Below are 20,308 nucleotides of genomic sequence, written 5' to 3'. Positions count from 1 at the left end.
AAGTACTACATTTCATAGCTCCCCTTCCTCGAAGACACAAAATTAAATACAAAGACACTAAGAATCCCGACCCAAATCCTTTAAGCATATGTAAAAGATCTACAGAAAGGCTAAATTGGGGGTGCTTTTTGGTTTTACAAGACAATTCACAGTAACACTGGCAATTTTAAAAGGGTGCATTTAAAGTACTTAAGCTTCCCCTAATTACTGAATAAAATAGGTCAGCATTTGTATTTCCCAACATCCTATTAAGAATAATTACAGTAGTCTACCATTCCTCTATATGCCTTCATTTTTTAAAAAATCCATAATCTTCCAATCCTCAGAATTCTGGCCGCAGAGGATAACTTACAGCACCTCTTTCTCAAGCCAGCAATCCCTTTTCCTAGTCCTTATGGGGTAAGAAACAGGCACTCCTTTCCCTTCAAACTAACCCAGGGGCCTGGGAAAGGGCAAAGCAAGCTGAAACAATGTCACCAGAACTTGGACCTAGAAACCAGAGCCAAGAAGGATGACATAACACTAGAGCGTTCCGCTTCTGCAAAATGTCTATCATTCTCTCCACTGCCTGCTCTCAGCAGCTCACACAAACGCCACAAAGATTGGGAGAAGGCAGTACAGCACTAGTATTCATTTGTATCAAGAAAGAGCAATTCACTTCATTACTCCGAGCGTCCGTTGTAGCCTGCTCCATCCAGAGGACCGGAGGCAGACTCAAGCAAGAAGGATGAAAAGAAAGAGCTGATGCTGCTATGAAGTGACCCCCTAGATGGGGACGTGAGCAGTGTCCCTTGTGACTCTTGGAACATCCAAATCGCTGCAATAAACAGCCGGGCCAGCAGGACAGCCTCTCCCACGCTGGGGACAGCCCGGAGCCCGCAGCCTAGTGGCTGACTTTCCTTCCGCTAAGTGGATGGGCGCCGGGGGGCGTTATTTACACCATTCCAAAATCTGGAACCTGGGGGTGTAGTTGTGGGTGAAAGAACGCCTAAGCAAAGTGGAAAAAAAATCCTTGAAAATTGATTCAAAACACAGAGCGTGGCTACTTTATTCTTCTGTAGTATGAGAAATTTCTTTTTCTTTTTCTTTTTTAGGACCACTGCAGCGGGATCTTGCAGTAGGGGAGAGAGAGTGGATTAACTCCCTGAGAAATTTCTCTCATGAAAGAAATCTATTACCATACAATAAGAAGCTCAAGATTTATTATTTAGGGGGGTAAAGGGGTCAATGTTGCGTTCATATGACTACTCTGACATCAAAAACTATTTTTGGATGAGATAGAGCATATTATGCAATTCTACAATGTATTTTTTTTTTTACAAGAGTAATCTTTAAAAAGAACTGGAGCTGGTCCAAGCGATTTCACCGACACAGAAGCCACGTTGTGCCCCCTCAATCCACCGCTCCCAGATACCCTGCAGTGTGAGGGATCATTCAAGAACCGCCGTCTCCCCAGACCCGCGTGCACAGCGCGGCGCGTCCACTGAGCCGGTCTAGGCTCGCAGGAGGCGCTGCCACTGCGAGGCCGAAACGAGTGTCCCGGAAAACGCCGGCCCGGCCAGGCGTTCTGCCGCTATTCGCTGACCGACTGGCACACCAGCCCATGCAACTTAGCGCTAAAGACCGGTAGCCTGGGGAATGACATTCACGGGGGGAATCCGAACCCCATTCCCGCGACGCGGGGACGCCAACGTGCGACGCCCTGCCGGCCCGCCCCTTCCTGCCCACCCACTGCCAACTGCCCCAGAGCACGGGCGAGAGCGCGGCATATAGGGCAAAGGCAGAGCTCACCGCTTCAGCGAGTCCAAAACCTGCGGTGCCCCGGCAGTCGCGGAATCCGGGCTCTGCGCGGCAGCCTGGGCTGCCGCCGGGGTGGTATTCCCGGCAGGAACGCCGTCCCGGGGCATCGCAGACGGCGCGCGCGGCTCTCTACGCGCCTCACACGCCTTGCACGCCGCCGCTTGAGCCTCAAGGCGCAGGACTCCGTGCGGCGGGACCCGCCCACCCCCGAGGCCAGCCAATGGACGCGGAGCGCGGGAAGCCGGGGGCGGGGCCCAGCTCCTCCCCTGCAGCCGAGCAACGCAGCAGGCTCCGCGGTCCTGCGCTCGCGCCCGCCCCACCAGGAGCGGTCTGGGATTGGGGGAGCACATTCCTCAAATAGAAGGTCTGTGAGGCCTAAGGTGTTCGGCACGCGCTGCTGCTTTTGCGGGAGTCTTTCTGTCCTTTTTAAGACTAATAATTTCTTCGCCTGCTGTTTACAGAACACCTATTTAGGGCCAGCCACAGTGCTTGGGGACACATGGAAATAGGAAAAAGCTTCCACTTAGAGGATCTCCCAGTCATTCCGGTGGATGAGCAGATATGAAAACAGGTAATTAGGGGAGCCCACATAAGGCACATTCCAACGTCAAAAAACGTGTAGGGGTGGCGCCTGCCTGTGGTCCCAGGATGAACCTGTTTTGGATTAGGACACACCCCAGAGGACAACTTCGCTATTTCTGTGTCCACCTCACCTAAACCTGGCAAAGCAGGCACACGGGGAGGAGTCCAGACAGGTGACAGGAAACTATTTTCTGATTTAAGGAACACGGAAAAAGGAACAAGGGAAAAAGTGAGAAAAACTTGGGAGGCTGAGGCAGGAGGCTGAGGCGGGAGGCTGCAATGAGCCATGATCGCACCACTTCACTCCAGCCCGGTGTCTTAAAAAAAAAAAAAGCCTTGTTGTGATATGGGGCAGGGTGTGGGGCACGAGGAGATTTCGGCCAGAGGACAACTAAGAGATTTGTTACCCTGGAATTCTGGTGGCCGTTATTCGCAATGGAGAACAATGCACGTTCATTTTCTTTTTTTCTTCAACTTTTAAGTTCAGGAGTACATGTGCAGAACGTGCAGGTTTGTTATATCGATATACATGTGCCATGGTGGTTTGCTGCACCTACCAACCCATCGTCTAGGTTTTAAGCCCTGCATGCATTAGGTATTTGTCCTAATGCTCTCCCTCCCCTTGCCCCCCACCCCCCCAACAGATCCCAGTGTGTGTTGTTCCCCTCCCTGTGCCCATGTGTTCTCAATATTCAACTCCCACTTATGAGCGAGAACATACAGTGCTTGGTTTTCTGTTCCTGTGTTAGTTTGCTGAGGATGATGACTTCCAGCTTCATCCATGTCCCTGCAAAGGATATGATCTCATTCTTTTTTATGGTTGCATAGTATTCCATGGTGTATATGTTACCACATTTTCTTTATCCGGTCTATCATCGATAGGCATTTGGATTGGTTCCATGTCTTTGCTATTGTAAATAATGCTGCAGTAAACATACGTGTGCATGTGTCTTTATAGCAGAATGACTTATATTCCTTTGGGTATATACCCAGTAATGGGATTGTGAGTCAAATGGTATTTCTGGTTCTAGATCCTTGAGGAGTTGCCACACTGTCTTCCACAATGGCTGAACTAATTTACATTCCCACCAACAGTGTTGTGTGATCTTATTTCTGAGTTCTTTATTCTGGCCCATTGGTCTATGTGTCTGTTCTTGTACCAGTACCATGCTGTTTTGGTTACTGTAGCCTTGTAGTACAGTTTGAAGTCAGCTAATGTGATGCCTCCAGCTTTTTTTTTTTTTTTTTTTTTTTTTTTGCTTAGGATTGTCTTGGCTATTTGGGCTCTTTTGGTTCTGTATGAATGTTAAATAGTTTTTCTAATTCTGTGAAGAATGTCAATGGTAGTTTAATGGGAGTAGGGCAGTATGGCCTTTTTCACAATATTGATTCTTCCTATCCATGAGCATGGAATGTTTCTCCATTTGTTTGTGTCCTCTCTGATTTCTTTGAGCATTGGTTTGCAGTTCTCCTTGAAGAGGTCCTTCACTTCCCTTGTTAGCTGTATTCCTAGGTATTTTATTCTTTTTGTAGCAATTGTGAATGGGAGTTCATTTATGATTTGGCTCTCAGCTTGCCTGTTATGGGTGTATAGGAATGCTATCAATTTTTGCACATTGATTTTGTATCCTGAGACTTTGCTGAAGTTGCTTATCAGCTTAAGAAACTTTGGGGCTGAGACAATGGGGTTTTCTAGATATAGGATCATATCATCTGCAAACAAAGATAATTTGATTTCCTCTCTTCCTATTTGAATACTCCTTATTTCTTTCTCTTGCCTAACTGACCTGGCCAGAACTTCCAAAACTATGTTGAATAGGAGTGGTGAGAGAGGGCAGCTTGTCTTGTGCTGCTTTTCAAGGGAATGCTTCCAGCTTTTGCCCATTCGGTAGGGTATTGGCCATGGGTTTGTCATATATGGCTCTTATTATTTTGAGGTGTTTCTTCAATACCTAGTTTATTGAGAGTTTTTAACATGAAGGAATGTTGAATTTTATCAAAGGTCTTTCTGCGTGTAGTTTTCGTCTTTAGTTCTGTTTATGTGTTGAATCACATTTATTGTTTTTTGTATGTTGGACCAACCTTGCATCCCAGGGATGAAGCCTACTTGATCGTTGTGGATAAGCTATTTGAAGTGCTGCTGAATTCAGTTTGCTAGTTTTTTTTGTTTTGTTTTGTTTTGTTTTGTTTTGTTTTGTTTTGGAGAAAGAGTCTTGCTCTGTCACCGAGGCTGGAGTGCAGTGATGCAATCTCAGCTCACTGCAGCCTCCACCTCCCAGGTTCAAGCGATTCTCCTGCTTCATCCTCCTGAGTAGCTGGGATGACAGACGTGCACCACCATGTATGACTAATTTTTTGCATTTTTAGTGGAGATGGGGTTTTGCCATGTTGGCCAGGCTGGTCTGGAACTCCTGACCTCAAGTGACCTGCCTGTCTTGGCATCCCAAAGTGCTGGGATTACAGGCATGAGCCACCATGCCCAGCCCAGTTTGCCAGTATTTTATTGAGGATTTTTGCATCGATGTTCATCAATGTTTCCTTTTTTGTTGTGTCTCTGCCAGGTTTTGGTATCAGGATGATGCTGGCCTCATAGAATGAGTTAGGGAGGAGTCCCTCCTTTTCAATTTTTTGGAATTGTTTCAGTAGAAATGGTACCAGCTCTTCTTTGTTCCTCTGGGAGAATTCAGCTGTGAATCCATCTGGTCCTGGGCTTTTTTGGGTTCGTAGGCTATTTATTACTGCCTTAATTTCACAACTTGTTATTGGTCTATTCAGGGATTCAATTTCTTCCTGGTTCAGTCATGGGAGGGTGTATGTGTCCAGGAATTTATCCATTTCATCTAGACCTCCTAGTTTATGTGCATAGAGGTGTTTATAGTATTCTCTGATGGTTGTTTGTATTTCTGTGGGGTCAGTGATATCCCCCTTATCTTTTCTGATTGTGTTTATTTGATTCTTCTCTCTTTTCTTCTTTATTAATCTAGCTAGTGGTGTTATTAATTTTTTCAAAAACCAGCTCCTGGATTTATTGATTTTTTTTTTAGAAGGTTTTTTATGTCTCTATCTCCTTCAGTTCAGCTCTGATCTTGGTTATTTCTTGTCTTCTGCTAGCTTTGGGGTTTCTTTGCTCTTGGTTCTCTAGTTCTTTTAGTTGAGATGTTAGGTTGTTAACTTGAGATCTTTCTAGCTTTTTGATGTGGGCATTTAGCACTAAACATTTCCCTCTTAACACTCTTTTAGCTGCATCCCAGAGATTCTGGTACATCATCTCTTTGTTCTCATTAGTTTCAAAAAATTTATTGATTTCTGCCTAATTTTATTATTTACCCAAGAGTCATTCAGGAGCAGGTGTTCAATTTCCATGTAGTTGTGTGGTTTGAAGTGAATTTCTTAATTTTGAGTGCTAATTTGATTGCGTTATGGTGTGAGAGACTGTTATGACTTCAGTTCTCTTGCATTTGCTGAGAAGTGTTTTACTTCCAATTGTGTGATCAATTTTAGAGTAACTGCCATGTGGCACTGAGAAGAATGTATATTCTATTGTTTTTGGGTGGAGAGTTTTGTAGATATCTATCAGGTCCTTTAGATCCAGAGCTGAGTTCAGGTCCTGAATACCTTTGTTAATTTTCTCTCTCAATGATCTGTCTAATATTGTCAGTGGGGTGTTAAAGTCTCCCATTACTATCGCATGGAGTTTAAGTCTCTTTGTACGTCTCTAAGAACTTGCTTTATGAATCTGAGTGCTCCTGTATTGGGTGCATATATATTTAGGATAGTCAGCTCTTCTAGTTGCATTGAACCCTTTACCATTATGTAATGCTCTTCTTTGTCTTTTTTGACATTTACTGGTTTAAAGTCTGTTTAGTCAGAAACTAGGATTGCGACCCTTGCCTTTTTCTGTTTTCTATTTGCTTGGTAAATTTTCCTCCATCCCTTTATTTTGAGCCTATGTATGTCTTTGCACATGAGATGGATCTCTTGAAGAAAGCATACCAATGGATCTTGCTCTTTATACAGCTTGCCATTCTGTGTCTTTTAATTGGGGCCATTTAGCCCATTTACATTTAAGATTAGTATTGTTACATGTGAATTTGATCCTGTCATCACGATGCTAGCTGGTTATTTTGCAGCCTTGTTTATCTGGTTGCTTTATAGTGTCACTGGTCTGTGTATTTCAGTGTGTTTTTGTAGTGGCTCGTAATGGTTTTTGCTTTCCATATTTAGGGCTTCCTTTAGGAGCTCTTGGAAGGTAGGCCTGGTGGTGACAAATTCCCTCAGCATTTGCTTGTCTAAAAAGGATCTTATTTCTCCTTCACTTATGAGGCTTACTTTGGTTGGATATGAAATTCTGGGTTGGAAATTCTTTTCTTTAAGAATATTGAATATTGGCCCCCAATCTCTTCTGGCTTGTAGGGTTTCTGCTGAGAGGTCAGCTGTTAGTCTGTTAGTCTGGTCACCTTTGTAAGTGATCTGGCTTTCTTTTTTTTTTTGAGATGGAGTCTGGCTCTGTTGCCCAGGCTAGAATACAGTGGTGCAATCTCGGCTCACTGCAAGCTCCATCTCCTGGGTTCACACCATTCTCCTGCCTCAGCCTCCCAAGTAGCTGGGACTACAGGTGCCCGCCACCACACCCAGCTAATTTTTTGTATTTTTAGTAGAGACAGGGTTTCACCATGTTAGCCAGGATGGTCTCGATCTCCTGACCTCGTGATCCACCCGCCTTGGCCTCCCAAAGTGCTGGGATTACAGGCTTGAGCCACCGCGCCCAGCCATGATCTGGCCTTTCTCCTGGCTGCTCTTAACATTTTTTCTTTAATTTCAACCTTGGAGAATCTGATGATTATGTATCTTGGGGTTGATGGTCTCATGGAGTATTTTACTGGGGCTCTCTGCATTTACTGAATTTGAATGTTGGCCTGTCTTGCCAGGTTGGAGAAGTTCTCCTGGTTGATATCCTGAAGTTGGTTTTCTAACTTGGTTCCATTCTCCCCATCTCTTTCAGGTACCCCAATCATTTATACGTTTGGTCTCTTTACATAATCCTATATTTCTCAGAGGTTTTGTTCATTCCTTTTCATGCTATTCTGCTATTGATACTTGTGGTTGCATTGTGAAGTTCTTATGTTGTGTTTTTCAGCTTCATAAGATCAGTTATGATCCTCTCTAAACTGGCTATTCTGGCTATCAGCTTCTGTATTGTTTTATCACGATCTTAGTTTCTTTGCATTGGTTACAACATGCTCCTTTAGCTCAGCAAAGTTCATTATTACCCTCCTTCTGAAGCCTACTTTTGTCAATTCAGTTATCTCAGCCTCAGCCCAGTTCTGTGCCCTTGCTGGAGGGTGTTGTAGTCATTTGGAGGAGAGGCATTCTGGCTTTTTGAGTTTTCAGTGTTTTTGCATTGATTCTTTCTCATCTTTGTGGGCTTATCTGCCTTCGATCTTTGAGGTTGCTGGCCTTTGAATGGGGTTTTTGTGGAGTCTTTTTTGTTGATGTTGTTGTTGTTTTCTGTTTGTTTGTTTGTTTTACTTTTAATAACCAGGCCACTCTACCAAAGGGCTGCTGTGGTTTACTGGGGGTCTGCTCGAGACCCTAGTTGCCTCAGTTTTTCCCATACCTGGAAGTATCACCAGTGAAGGATACAAAACAGCAAAGATGGCAACCAGCTCCTTCCTCTGGAAGCTCCATCCCAGGGGAGTACTGACCTGTTGCCTGCCCCAACATACCTGTAAGAGGTGGCTGGAGACCCCTGTTGAGAGGTCTCACCCAGTCAAGAGGAACGGGATCAGGGACCCGCTTAAAGAAGCAGTCTGGGCCGGGCACGGTGGCTCACGCCTGTAATCCCAGCACTTCGGGAGGCTGAGGTGGGCGGATCACGAGGTCAGGAGATCGAGACCATCCTGGCCAATATGGTGAAACCCTGTCTCTACTAAAAATACAAAAATTAGCCCGGCATGGTGGTGCATGCCTGTAATCCCAGCTACTCAGGAGGCTGAGGCAGGAGAATCGCTTGAACCCAGAAGGTGGAGGTTGCAGTGAGCTGAAATTGCGCCACTGCACTCCAGCCTGGTGACAGAGCTAGACTCCATTTAAAAAAAAAAAAAAAAAAGAAGCAGTCTGGCTGCTTTTTGGTAGAGTAAGTGTACTGCATTGGGGGGACCCTTCCTCATCCAGATCATTTGTAGTCTTTTGGCCAGCAGGCTGGAACGGCTGAGTCAACCAAACCACAGAGATGGCAGCTGCCCCTCCCCATGGGAGCTCCATCCCAAAGAGGGATGAGAGTTCTATTTTAGAACCCTGGCTGGAGTGTCTGAAGCCCCTGGAGGGAGATCCCGCCCAATGAGGAGGAATGGATCAGAGTCCTGATTAAAGAAGCAGTCAGACCACAATCTAGCAAGGCCGCTGTGCTGCGTTGTGGAGGACCCTTCCTCGTTCGGACTATTTGTATTCTTCAAAGCCATTAGGCTGGAACAGCTGAGTCTGCTACTGAACTGCAGAGATGGCGGCCGCCCCTCCCTCTCTGGAACCCAGACCCATCTCAGGCAGATTCCAGCCTGTTGCCATTGGCTGGCTGGAATTCCAAGCCAGTGGGTCTTAACTTGTGGGGTACGATGGAAGTGGGACCCACAGAATGATGCTGATTGGCTTCCTGCATTCAGCCCCCTTCCCAAGGAGATGTAGGGAGGGATTTCCCACCTTGCCAGGGATCCCGGGGCTGGAGTATGTAAAACTCCCTAGTCTCTGTGTGTGCCTCAGCTGCTGCTCTGCCAAGATTCCACACAGCTCTCTGCTTTGGACCCAAGGCCCAGGTGGCATGGGCTCAGGAGGGGAACTCCTGATCCATGGGGTTGCAAAGATCTGTGAGAGAAGCGTGGTTTCCCAGGCAGGGTCGCACAATCACTCACTACTTCCCTTGGCTGGGGATGGGGGTTCCCTTGGCTCCCTGTAGCTCCCAGATGGGGTGTCGTCCCCTGCCCCCTGCTTTTCTTCATTCTCCGTGGGTAGAGTTATTTGCCTAGTTAGTCCCAATGCAAGAACCTGGATATTTAAGTTGAAGGTGCTGAATTCACTCGCGCCTTTACATTCCCTTCAGTGAGTGCTGTGGACTGCAGCTCCTTCTAATCGGCCATCTTGCAACAGCTTTCAAATCTTTCAGTCTTATATCCACATGTCATTTTCTTTTCCTTTTTTTTTTGTACAGAAGACTAGATAATATGCATGACATGGTTAAAATTTTCAATTGTGTCAAAAATATATGCAGTGAAAAGACAGTTTTCATCCTCCACTGCCTCCTGCCCCCAGCTTTCTTTCCTCTTAGACTACCACTGTTGACCAGTTTCTTGCATATCCTTTCAAAGACATTCCATGGGTTAAGAAAAATTATAAATGTATATATGTATGTATTGACTATATTGTAAGGTACGGACTTAAAACATTCCATATATGTTACCAAATTAATATCCATATATAGTTCATGTCAGTTGTGGCTCCCATAACAATTTGTCAGGACCACTGTTTCAACACGTCTCTATACAGTACATTATCAAATTTAATTTTTAATTTTCTATTCAGTTGTTGGTCTTTTTAAAAATTGTAGTGCATAGATATGTATACATGCATATATATATATATAAAATAATGAAAGTAGTCCAATATGAATAAATTACTTATCTTTTACCCCCTTTGTCTTTTGGCTTGTTTACTGTATTTTTGCAGTGAATTATTATTATTATTATTATTATTGCAACAGGGTCTCACTCTGTCACCCAGGCTGGAGTGTAGTGGCAGCCACAGCTCACTGCAGCCTCAACCTCAGGGGCTCAGGTGATCATCCCTCCTCAGCCTTCCAGGTAGCTGGGACTACAGGCATGTGCCACCATGCCAGGCTAATCTTTTGTAGAGACAAGGTTTTGCAGTGTTGCCCAGGTTGGTCTCAAACTCCTGGACTCAAGCAATTGGCCCACCTTGGCCTACCAAAGTGCTGGAATTACAGGCATGAGCCACCATGCCTGGCTGAATTATTTTTGATTTTCATATAGTCACATTACTTTTTCTAACTTTCTAGGGTTTTTTGTTGTTGCTTTTACTCTTTCCTAGAAAGGCTATCATATCCCCAAGATTTAAAAAAATTCTCCTATGGTAGCATCTAGTCTGCTTGATATCTATATGGTTATAGTATATAATATACTGTATGTATATGTGTATATATATGTGTATATATGTGTATATATATACACACACACCAATATACTATATAATGCAAATAATCTATTATAGAAATAATATCTGTTATGACAAAGAAATAAATTAGGGCCGGGCATGGTGGCAGCAGTTTGGGAGGCTAAGGTGGATGGATCACTTGAAGCCAGGAGTTCAAGACAGTGAAACAAAAACCACATGATTATCTCAATAAATGCAGAAAAGGCCTTTGACAAAATTCAACAACCTTCATGCTAAAAACTCTCAATAAACTAGGTATTGATGGGACGTATCTCAAAATAATGAGAGCTATCTATGACAAACCCACAGCCAATATCATACTGAATTGACAAAAACTGGAAGCATTCCCTTTGAAAACTGGCACAAGACAGGGATGCCCTCTCTCACCACTCCTATTCGACGTAGTGTTGGAAGTTCTGGCCAGGGCAATCAGGCAGGAGAAGGAAATAAAGGGCATTCAATTAGGAAAAGAGGAAGTCAAATTGTCCCTGTTTGCAGATGACATGATTGTATATCTAGAAAACCCTGTTGTCTCAGCCCAAAATCTCCTTAAGCTGATAAGCAACTTCAGCAAAGTCTCAGGATACAAAATCAATGTGCAAAAATCACAAGCATTCTTATACACCAATAACAGACAAACAGCCAATTCACGAGTGAAATCCCATTCACAATTGCTTCAAAGAGAATAAAATACCTAGGAATCCAACTTACAAGGGATGCAAAGGACCTCTTCAAGGAGAACTACAAACCACTGCTCAATGAAATAAAAAAGGATACAAACAAATGGAAGAACACTCCATGCTCATGGGTAGGAAGAATCAATATCATGAAAATGGCCATACTGCCCAAGGTAATTTATAGATTCAATGCCATCCTCATCAAGCTACCAATGACTTTCTTCACAGAATTGGAAAAAAGTACTTTAAAGTTCATATGGAACCAAAAAAGAGCCTGCATTGCCAAGTCAATCCTAAGCCAAAAGAACAAAGCTGGAGGCATCACGCTACCTGACTTCAAACTATACTACAAGGCTACAGTAACCAAAGCAGCATGGTACTGGTACCAAAACAGAGATACAGACCAATGGAACAGAACAGAGCCCTCAGAAATAATGCCACGTATCTACAACTATCTGATCTTTGACAAACCTGACAAAAACAAGTGATGGGGAAAGGATTCCCTATTTAATAAATGGTGCTGGGAAAACTGGCTAGCCATATGTAGAAAGCTGAAACTGGATCCCTTCCTTACACCTTATACAAAAATTAATTCAAGATGGATTAAAGACTTACATGTTAGACCTAAAACCATAAAAACCCTAGAAGAAAACCTAGGCAATACCATTCAGGACATAGGCATGGGCAAGGACTTCATGTCTAAAATACCAAAAGCAATGGCAACAAAAGCCAAAATTGACAAATGGGATCTAATTAAACTAAAGAGCTTCTGCACAGCAAAAGAAACTACCATCAGAGTGAACAGGCAACCTACAGAATGGGAGAAAATTTTTGCAACCTACTCATCTGACAAAGGGCTAATATCCAGAGTCTACAATGAACTCAAACAAATTTACAAGAAAAAAACAACCCCATCAAAAAGTGGGCAAAGGATATGAACAGACACTTCTCAAAAGAAGACATTTATGCAGCCAAAAAGCATGAAAAAATGCTCATCATCACTGGCCATCAGAGAAATGCAAATCAAAACCACAATGAGATACCACCTCACACCAGTTAGAATGGCGATCATTAAAAAGTCAGGAAACGACAGGTGCTGGAGAGGATGTGGAGAAATAGGAACACTTTTACACTGTTGGTGGGACTGTAAACTAGTTCAACCATTGTGGAAGTCAGTGTGGCGATTCCTCAGGGATCTAGAACTAGAAATACCATTTGACCCAGCCATCCCATTACTGGGTATATACCCAAAGGATTATAAATTATGCTGCTATAAAGACACATGCACATGTATGTTTATTGTGGCACTATTCACAATAGCAAAGACTTGGAACCAACCCAAATGTCCAACAATCATAGACTGGATTAAGAAAATGTGGCACATATACACCACAGAATACTATACAGCCATAAACAATGATGAGTTCATGTCCTTTGTAGGGACATGGATGAAGCTGGAAACCATCATTCTAAGCAAACTATCACAAGGACAAAAAACCAAACACCGCATGTTCTCACTCATAGGTGGGAATAGAACAGTGAAAACACATGGACACAGGAAGGGGAACATCACACACCGGGGACTGTTGTGGGGTGGGGGGAGGGGGGAGGGATAGCATTAGGAGATATACCTAATGTAAATGACGAGTTAATGGGTGCAGCACACCAACATGGCACATGTATACCTATGTAACAAGCCTGCACGTTGTGCACATGTACTCTAAAACTTAAAGTATAATAATAATAAAATTTTAAAAAATGACAGTGAAACATGATGAAACCCCGTCTCTACTAAATGCACAAAAATTAGCCAGGTGTAGTGGTACATGCCTGTAATCCCAGCTACACAAGAGGCTGAGGCAGGAGAATTGCTTGAACCTGGAGGCAGAATTTGCAGTGAGCCAGAGTTCGCACCACCACACTCCAGCCTGGGTGATAGAGCAAAATTCTCTCTTAAAGAGAAAGAGAGAAAGAGAGGAAGAGAGGGAGGGAGGAAGGGAAGGAGGGGAGGAGGGAAGGAAGAAAGGAGGGAAGGAAAGAAGGAAGGAAGGAAAAGAAAGGGAGGGAGAGGAAGGAAGGAAGGAAGGAAAGAAAGAAAGAAAGAAAGAAAGAAAGAAAGAAAGAAAGAAAGAAAGAAATAAATAAATAAATAAATAAATCAGGGCAAAGGATTTGAATAGCCAGTTCTATAAATGCCAATAAGCACATGAAAGGTGCACAACATTACTAGCCATCAAGTAAATGCAAATCAAGACCATAATGAGATACTACTTCACAGCCACTAGAATGGCTATAATAAAAAAGATAGATAGTAACTAGTGTTGGCAAGCGTATAGACTGAATTGTATCCCCCTAAGATTCCTGTTTTGAAGCTGTAACCCCCAATGTGACTACATTTGAATATTGGCCCTTTAGACAAGTACTTAAGGTGAAATCAGGTCATAAAAGTGAGACCCTAATCCAAAATGACTGGTATCTTCATGAGAGGAGGAAGAGACACTAGGGATATTTGCACAGAGAAAAGGCTATGCGAGGACACAATGAGAAGGCAGCCATCTGCAAGCCAAGGAAAGAACTCCTGGGAGAAACCAAACCTTCTCATACCTTGATCTTGGATTTCTAGTTTCCAGAATTGTGAGCAAATACATTTCTGATGTTTAAGCCACCCAGTCTGTGGTATTTTGTTTTGGCAGCCCTTGCAAACTAATACAGCAAGAATGTGGAGAAATTGGGACCCTTATATACCACTGGTGGGATTGTAAAATGGTACCACCACTTTGAAAAATAGTCTGGTAGTTACTGAAACAGTTAAACATAGAGTTACCATATGACCCGGCAATCTTTGGGATAATGAAATGTTGTAAAATTGTGGTGATATTTGTACAACTCTCTGAATATACTAAAATTCATGGAATTGTACACTTTCAATGGAGGAACTGTATTTGAATTATATCTTGATAAAGGTGTTAAAATCAATACCCAGATTTTACTGAACAAGGGTCAAAGTATATGTGTAGGCTGGGCACGGTGGCTCATGCCTGTAATCCCAGCACTTTGGGAGGCGGAGGCAGGTGGATCACCTGAGGTCAGGAGTTCGAGACCAGCCTGGCCAACATGGTGAAACCCCGTCTCTACTAGATACAAAAAATTAGCTGGGCATGGTGGCACATGCCTGTAATCCCAGCTACTTGGGAGACTGAGGCAGGAGAATCTCTTGAACCTCGGAGGCAAAGGTTGCAGTGTGTCGAGATTACACCATTGCACTCCAGCCTGGGCGACGAGCAAAACTCTGTCTCACAAACCAAACAAACAAAACAAAACATATGTGTAAATAGTTCACACATGAAGAAACTCAGAAAAGTTAATTTTGGGGAAATTATTAGCCTTGCTGCAGTGCTAATTGAAAATTAAAAAAGAGAATATTGATGGAGTTAAATTGAGAAAATTATTTATTAGAACAACTTTTCAAGAGTGCTGTAGCAAAGCACACGATCTATGAAATCGTTTATTTTCAGCTCATAATCTACATTTGGGATTATAGTCAAAACTATTCAAATACCCAATAACTGGGAAGATACGTATTAAAGTAGCAAACATGGGCTATATTATAATAATAAATGGGAAATTATGTATAAGATAATGAGAAAAGTAGAATACTAACTAGTTTGCAAATGTGATGACTGTACATAAATAAGTCTACATTGTTGAATATAATGAAGAGAAATTAGTAAGACATGGTACCAGAATTCTTCTTAGGGAGAAAAAAAAAACTGTCTTTATTTGGGAAAATACCCTGATAAGCTGTTTCGGGTATAAAATGACACTCTGAAAATATGGGTACGAGCGGAAGCCCTGGCAACACAAGAAAAACTGCCCTGCCTGAACCCCGAGAGAAATTAATTTTTCCCCCTGAGAGAAAGAAAAATAAAGTGGTGAGAAGAGATGAGCCAAGCAAGGAGGAGAGGGGAGAGACAAGTCAAGGGGAGAAGTCTGGGTGGTACATAGAATTAAGGAATAATGGGAATCTCTGGGGAAAGGGTAAAAAAATTGACCTTTTATAGAACAAGAGTGTCTAATATACAAATTTAAAGTTATTTTTCCAAATCTTAAAATCTCACTAAAACTTTATGTGAATGGGGTTTTGTAGAAACTGAGGGAAAGGCTCATGTTGAGGTGGTTGGAACAGTGAAAAGACAGTGCTCATAAAAGTAGGGGCTCAGGAGTAGAAAGGACAGAAGAAAATAAGCCCCTCAGAAATTACTGGTAATTGGCCAGGCACAGCAGCTCATGCCTATAATCCCAGCACTTTGAGAGGCTGAGGTGGGTGGATCACTTGAGTCCAGGAGTTTGAGACCAGCCTGGGCAACATGTTGAAATGCCCTCTACAAAAAAGTTGGCCAGGCACATGTCTATAGTCCTAGCTACTAGGGAGGCTGAAGTGGGAGGATTGATTGAGCCAGCAAGGTTGAAGCTGCAGTGAGCTGAGATCATACCACTGCACTACAGCCTGGGTGACAGAAACCCCGTCTCAAAAAAAAAAAAAAAAAAGAAATTACTAGTGATGCTAATCTTTGAAGGGCTATGGACACCCACATTGGATGTCCGGATGACCTTATTTTGATTGCAAAGGGGAGGGAGGGTCTGGCTGACATTTTCCTTACATAAGGATAAGAAGATAACATGATGTAAATGTAGGTGTTTTAAGTTTATGAGAGGCTTAAATGTATGAATTTTTGTTAAAAAATGTCCATTTGTTCTAACAACATTGATTCCCAACTACTAACTAAAACAGAATGAATGGATCCTGGTTAAGCTCCTGTCTCAGTGAAATCCAGTGGACATGATTCAAGTGTACCTGTATGATGGGTAGGAGAAATGGAAATGAATATGTAAAATGTAATAATTTATACTCTTTCTTAGCAGTAAGGTTGGAAGGAATTTAGGTGAGATCATCCAAATTTAGAGAAATCATCCTTTTATTATTTTTTTTTTGAGACAGGATCTTACTCTGTTGCCCAGGCTAGAGTGCAATGGTGTGTGCACAGCTCACTGTAGCTTTGACCTCCCAGGCTCACTTGATCCTCCCACCTCGGCCTCCTGAGTAGCTGGGACTATAGGTGCATGCCACCACGCCCAGCTCATTTTTGTATTTTTTTATAGAGATGGGGTTTTGCCATGTTGCCCAGGCTGGACTCGAACTCCTGGGCTCAAGCGATGTGCCTGCCTTGGCCTTCCAAAGTGCTGGGATTATAGGCATGAGCCACCATGCCCAGCTAGGAAAATCATTCTAATGCATTTTATGTTGAAGTGTTACTAGAGCAAAAATATGGTCAAATATTCAAGAAGGCTGGTATGTGATAAAGTTCAAAAGAATGAATGTGTCAATAGCACTTTCATGGAGTGTTTAGAAGTTCTTAATTGCCCAGCTCCAGAATTCATGACTTCCATTGACCTGGCCAGAGGAGGATTACTAAACAGTCCTAATTTACAGATGGCAGGTCTGTGGCACAGGGCCTAGAAGTGATTTCCCAAGGTTATAGAGCAAGCCAAAGGGTGAGATGAAAATAGAACTGTACCTCACACTCCCATGCAGCTATATGATAACTTGTGTACTGTCAGCAAAGAGTTGTGGAATGAATGTCCTGGACAGGTTAGCATAGATTTATGGCTAAAGGAGTCTTGCTCAATAATTGCAAATGTTACTTGACAACAGCAAATGACCTACCTAATCTTATAAACAGTAACATCCTGGGCACTTTGGCAAAATCTTCAGAGAAAATAAAATTCCTGTTCGACAATTGAAAAAAATTTTAAATGCACAGCTCCATTGTCATGAAGCTACCACTTTTGTAATGCTTAAGCCTATAGAGATAGTCACCTTCAACCCTCCCCCTCTAAAGACTAAACTTCCAAGTGGTGACTCCTCAACTCTGTAATATCAGCAAACTTATAGGATCTTGCAGAAGTGTCTAAATGTTTTCATAAGTTTAGGATTTTCTAGAGACTAAAGTCTTCACTGGTAATTTTCTGCAAGTCTCCTTACTGAATTAACAGAACTAGAAAGTAGAGTGGAAGAATCTGATAGTGACAGCCTAGGGCTCAGCCACTAAATTTATGTCTCTAGGTAGCCAGGCTATGGAGAGATCGCTCACCTAGCTGTGATGCTTATACCTAGGGATGTTTTAGGAAAACAACAAAAGGTAGGACCACTATTACGTGACTGTTCTCTAGGATGGCTTCTTACGTTGTACTGATCTACTTAATAGATAGGTTAAAATTTCATGTTTTCAGAAGTGTGTTCATCCCATTCCCACTTTTCAGAAAGGATTTTTTTTTTTTTTTTTTTTTTTTTTTTTGAGACACAGTCTTGCTCTTGTCTCCCAGGCTGGAGTGCCATGGCACGATCTCAGCTCACTGCAACCTCTGCCTCCGGGGTTCAAGCCATTCTCCTGCCTCAGCCTCCAGAGTAGCTGGGATTACAGGTGCCCGCCACCACACCCGGCTAATTTTTGTATTTTTAGTAGAGACGGGGTTTGGCCATGTTGGCCAGGCTAGTCTCGAACTCCTGACCTCAGGTGATCCACCAGCCTCAGCCTTTCAAAGTGCTGGGATTACAGGCGTGAGCCACCATGCCCGGCCTCACAAAGGATTTTTAAAAATGATTTCTGTGGGCCGAGATGGCACCACTGCACTCCAGTCTGGGCGACAGAGCAAGACTCCGTCTAAAAAAAACAAAAATAGATTTCTGTGTAAATGGTCTAATACTTTCGGTCCAGCCCTAAGTGAGACTCACAATCACAGGGATTCTGTTTTGTTTTTGTTTGTTTGTTTGTTTGTTTGTTTGTTTTTGAGACAGAGTTTCACTCTTGTTGCTCAGGCTGGAGTGCAATGGTGCGATCTTGGCTCACTGCAAACTCCGCCTTCCAGGTTCAAGCGATTCTTCTACCTCAGCCTCCCGAGTAGCTGGGATTACAGGCATGCACCACCACTCCCGGCTAATTTTGTATTTTTAGTAGAGACGAGGTTTCTCCTTGTTGGTCAGGCTGGTCTCGAACTCCCGATCTCAGGTGATCCACCTGCCTTGGCCTCCCAAAGTGCTGGGATTACAGGTATGAGCCACCGCACCAGCCAGGAATTCTTTACTGCTAGTTTCCTCCCCTTCATATACGGGGCTACACTGTTACTGCTTCTGATCAGTTCTTCAGAGTCATGGTCCTGACCAGAAAATAACATCTGAGGGAACAACAGAAGAAAGAAAATTAGAGGTCCAGCAACTATTTCTCAGCAAGCTGTCACTGACTGGTAAACTGATGATAGAAGTCAGTCCCTTTCCATAGCATAACATCATATCTGAAAGCATCTTAGAGGTCCCATAAAAAGCAGGAACTACAGAACTACTTGGACAAAATGTATGTCAAAAATACCCACCAATAAAATCTGAGTTATTGAAAATGTTACCTTTACAGGCAATATTTTATTAATAAACAAATAACCCAATTATTATGAGGTAAAGGAATAATCCAAACAACCAAATTTGCATGAAACTTTCTGCTCCTTCCATCTCTTCTAGCATAAATATTTTGGCTGCTGCCGTTTTCTTTCCTTTCTAGCATCGCGGTGACATAGGTTAGGAATTTCTGTGTTAAACACACATAAATATGTAGCTTAAATACATTTTGTTGGTCCGGTGTAGTGGCTCACTCCTGTAAGCCTAGTGCTTTGGATGTCAGTGCTTTGGGAGCCTCAAGGGAGGATCCTCAAGGAAGGATCACTTGAGGCCAGGAGTTCGAGATACCAGCTCTACAAAAATAAAAATAAAAAATTAGATGGACATGGTGGTGTTGCACCTGTGGTCCTAGCTATGGGAGGATAGCATAAGCCCAAAAGTTTGAGGCTGCAGTGAGCTAGGATTGTGCCACCGCACTCCAGCCTGGGAGACAAAATGATATCCTGTCTCTAAAATAAATCAATTAGTACATTTTGGATGGGGCATGGATATAGCTTTATTCAGAATGCCTTTTGAGTATTCTTGGTCATTCTACTGTTTGGATTCCGGCAACATACAGGATTCATCTCTGCCAACCAAAATAGAAAGGCCATATTTCACACAGAAGGAAAAAGAAATGTGAAGAAATGCATGGGATCAATAGTTTATCTGGGTTGCCCGTTTTCTCCCTTCTCTTAGTTTGACCCATGCTCTATTTTACTGTCCTGGCTTTTTAGTTAGAACCCTGGTTTAGTAATTTCTGTGTGTACAATTCTAATATATGGACTATTAATATTTTAATTGATTCACGTATTCATTCATCAGTCTATTTACCAACATTTTTGTCAACATAGGGAGCACGAGCTCCTCCTACCCTTAATAAGGCTGCAGTTAAATGGGGGAAATTGTTTGCCACAGTGACAAACACAATGTAAAAATGTATGAAATGCTAAAGGTATGCTTTGGGGTAAGAAAGACTTAAGTTCAAATCCAACTCTGCCATTTATTAACTGAATGATCTCCATCATATTACTCAACTTCATTGAGTTTCAGTTTCACCATCAAGGAAAATGAATGTGGCAGTTATCTTTCAAGATGGCGCTAAATGATGCTGGTATTCATGCCCTTGTGTAATCCTCTTACCTTGAATGTGAGCTGAACCTCGTGACTTGCTTCTAAAAAATAGAATTCTGCAAAAGTGATGGAATGCCACTTCCATGATAGGGATACAAAAGACTGGCTACCTTCTTACTAGATTTTTCTCTATTGCCTTTTTAGCTTATATACTTTGATGAATCAAGCTGTCATTTAGAGAGCCTCGTGGGAAGGACTGAGAGAGGTGTCTAGCCAACAGCCACTGGGCAACTGAATCCTACCAACAACCATGTAAATGGGCTGGGAAGCAAATCTTTCTCAGGCTTGAGATGACCACAGCCCCGGTCGGCACCTTGATTATAGCCTGTGAGTCCCTGAAGCAGAACCAGCTAAGTCAGCCCAGATTCCCAACCCACAGAAACTCTGAGGTAATAAATGTTTAAAGCCA

The 20,308-nt window shown here is 42.8% G+C and overlaps 1 long non-coding RNA gene across 1 annotated transcript, besides 2 other annotated features; it reads left to right on the top strand.

The window, feature by feature from the left end:
• Positions 597 to 706: an enhancer, noted in NCBI's record as "active region_16018". NCBI's record gives its function as "activates an Ori minimal core promoter by ATAC-STARR-seq in GM12878 lymphoblastoid cells {active_cell/tissue: GM12878}" and the evidence as "EXISTENCE:reporter gene assay evidence [ECO:0000049][PMID:35858748]".
• LOC105374797 (uncharacterized) lies at positions 1,731 to 20,308 on the top strand. The gene is made up of 3 exons (XR_940233.2): positions 1,731 to 2,164; positions 2,262 to 2,371; positions 20,044 to 20,308. It is a non-coding gene; the product is annotated as an uncharacterized LOC105374797 (long non-coding RNA).
• Positions 1,908 to 2,147: a silencer, noted in NCBI's record as "silent region_11622". NCBI's record gives its function as "represses an Ori minimal core promoter by ATAC-STARR-seq in GM12878 lymphoblastoid cells {active_cell/tissue: GM12878}" and the evidence as "EXISTENCE:reporter gene assay evidence [ECO:0000049][PMID:35858748]".

Source organism: Homo sapiens, chromosome 2, assembly GCF_000001405.40.
Source record: "Homo sapiens chromosome 2, GRCh38.p14 Primary Assembly".
In the NCBI taxonomy this organism is placed as follows: Eukaryota; Metazoa; Chordata; class Mammalia; order Primates; family Hominidae; genus Homo; species Homo sapiens.
Note: the sequence above shows the minus strand (reverse complement) of the source record. Positions and strands in the feature narration are given on the sequence as shown.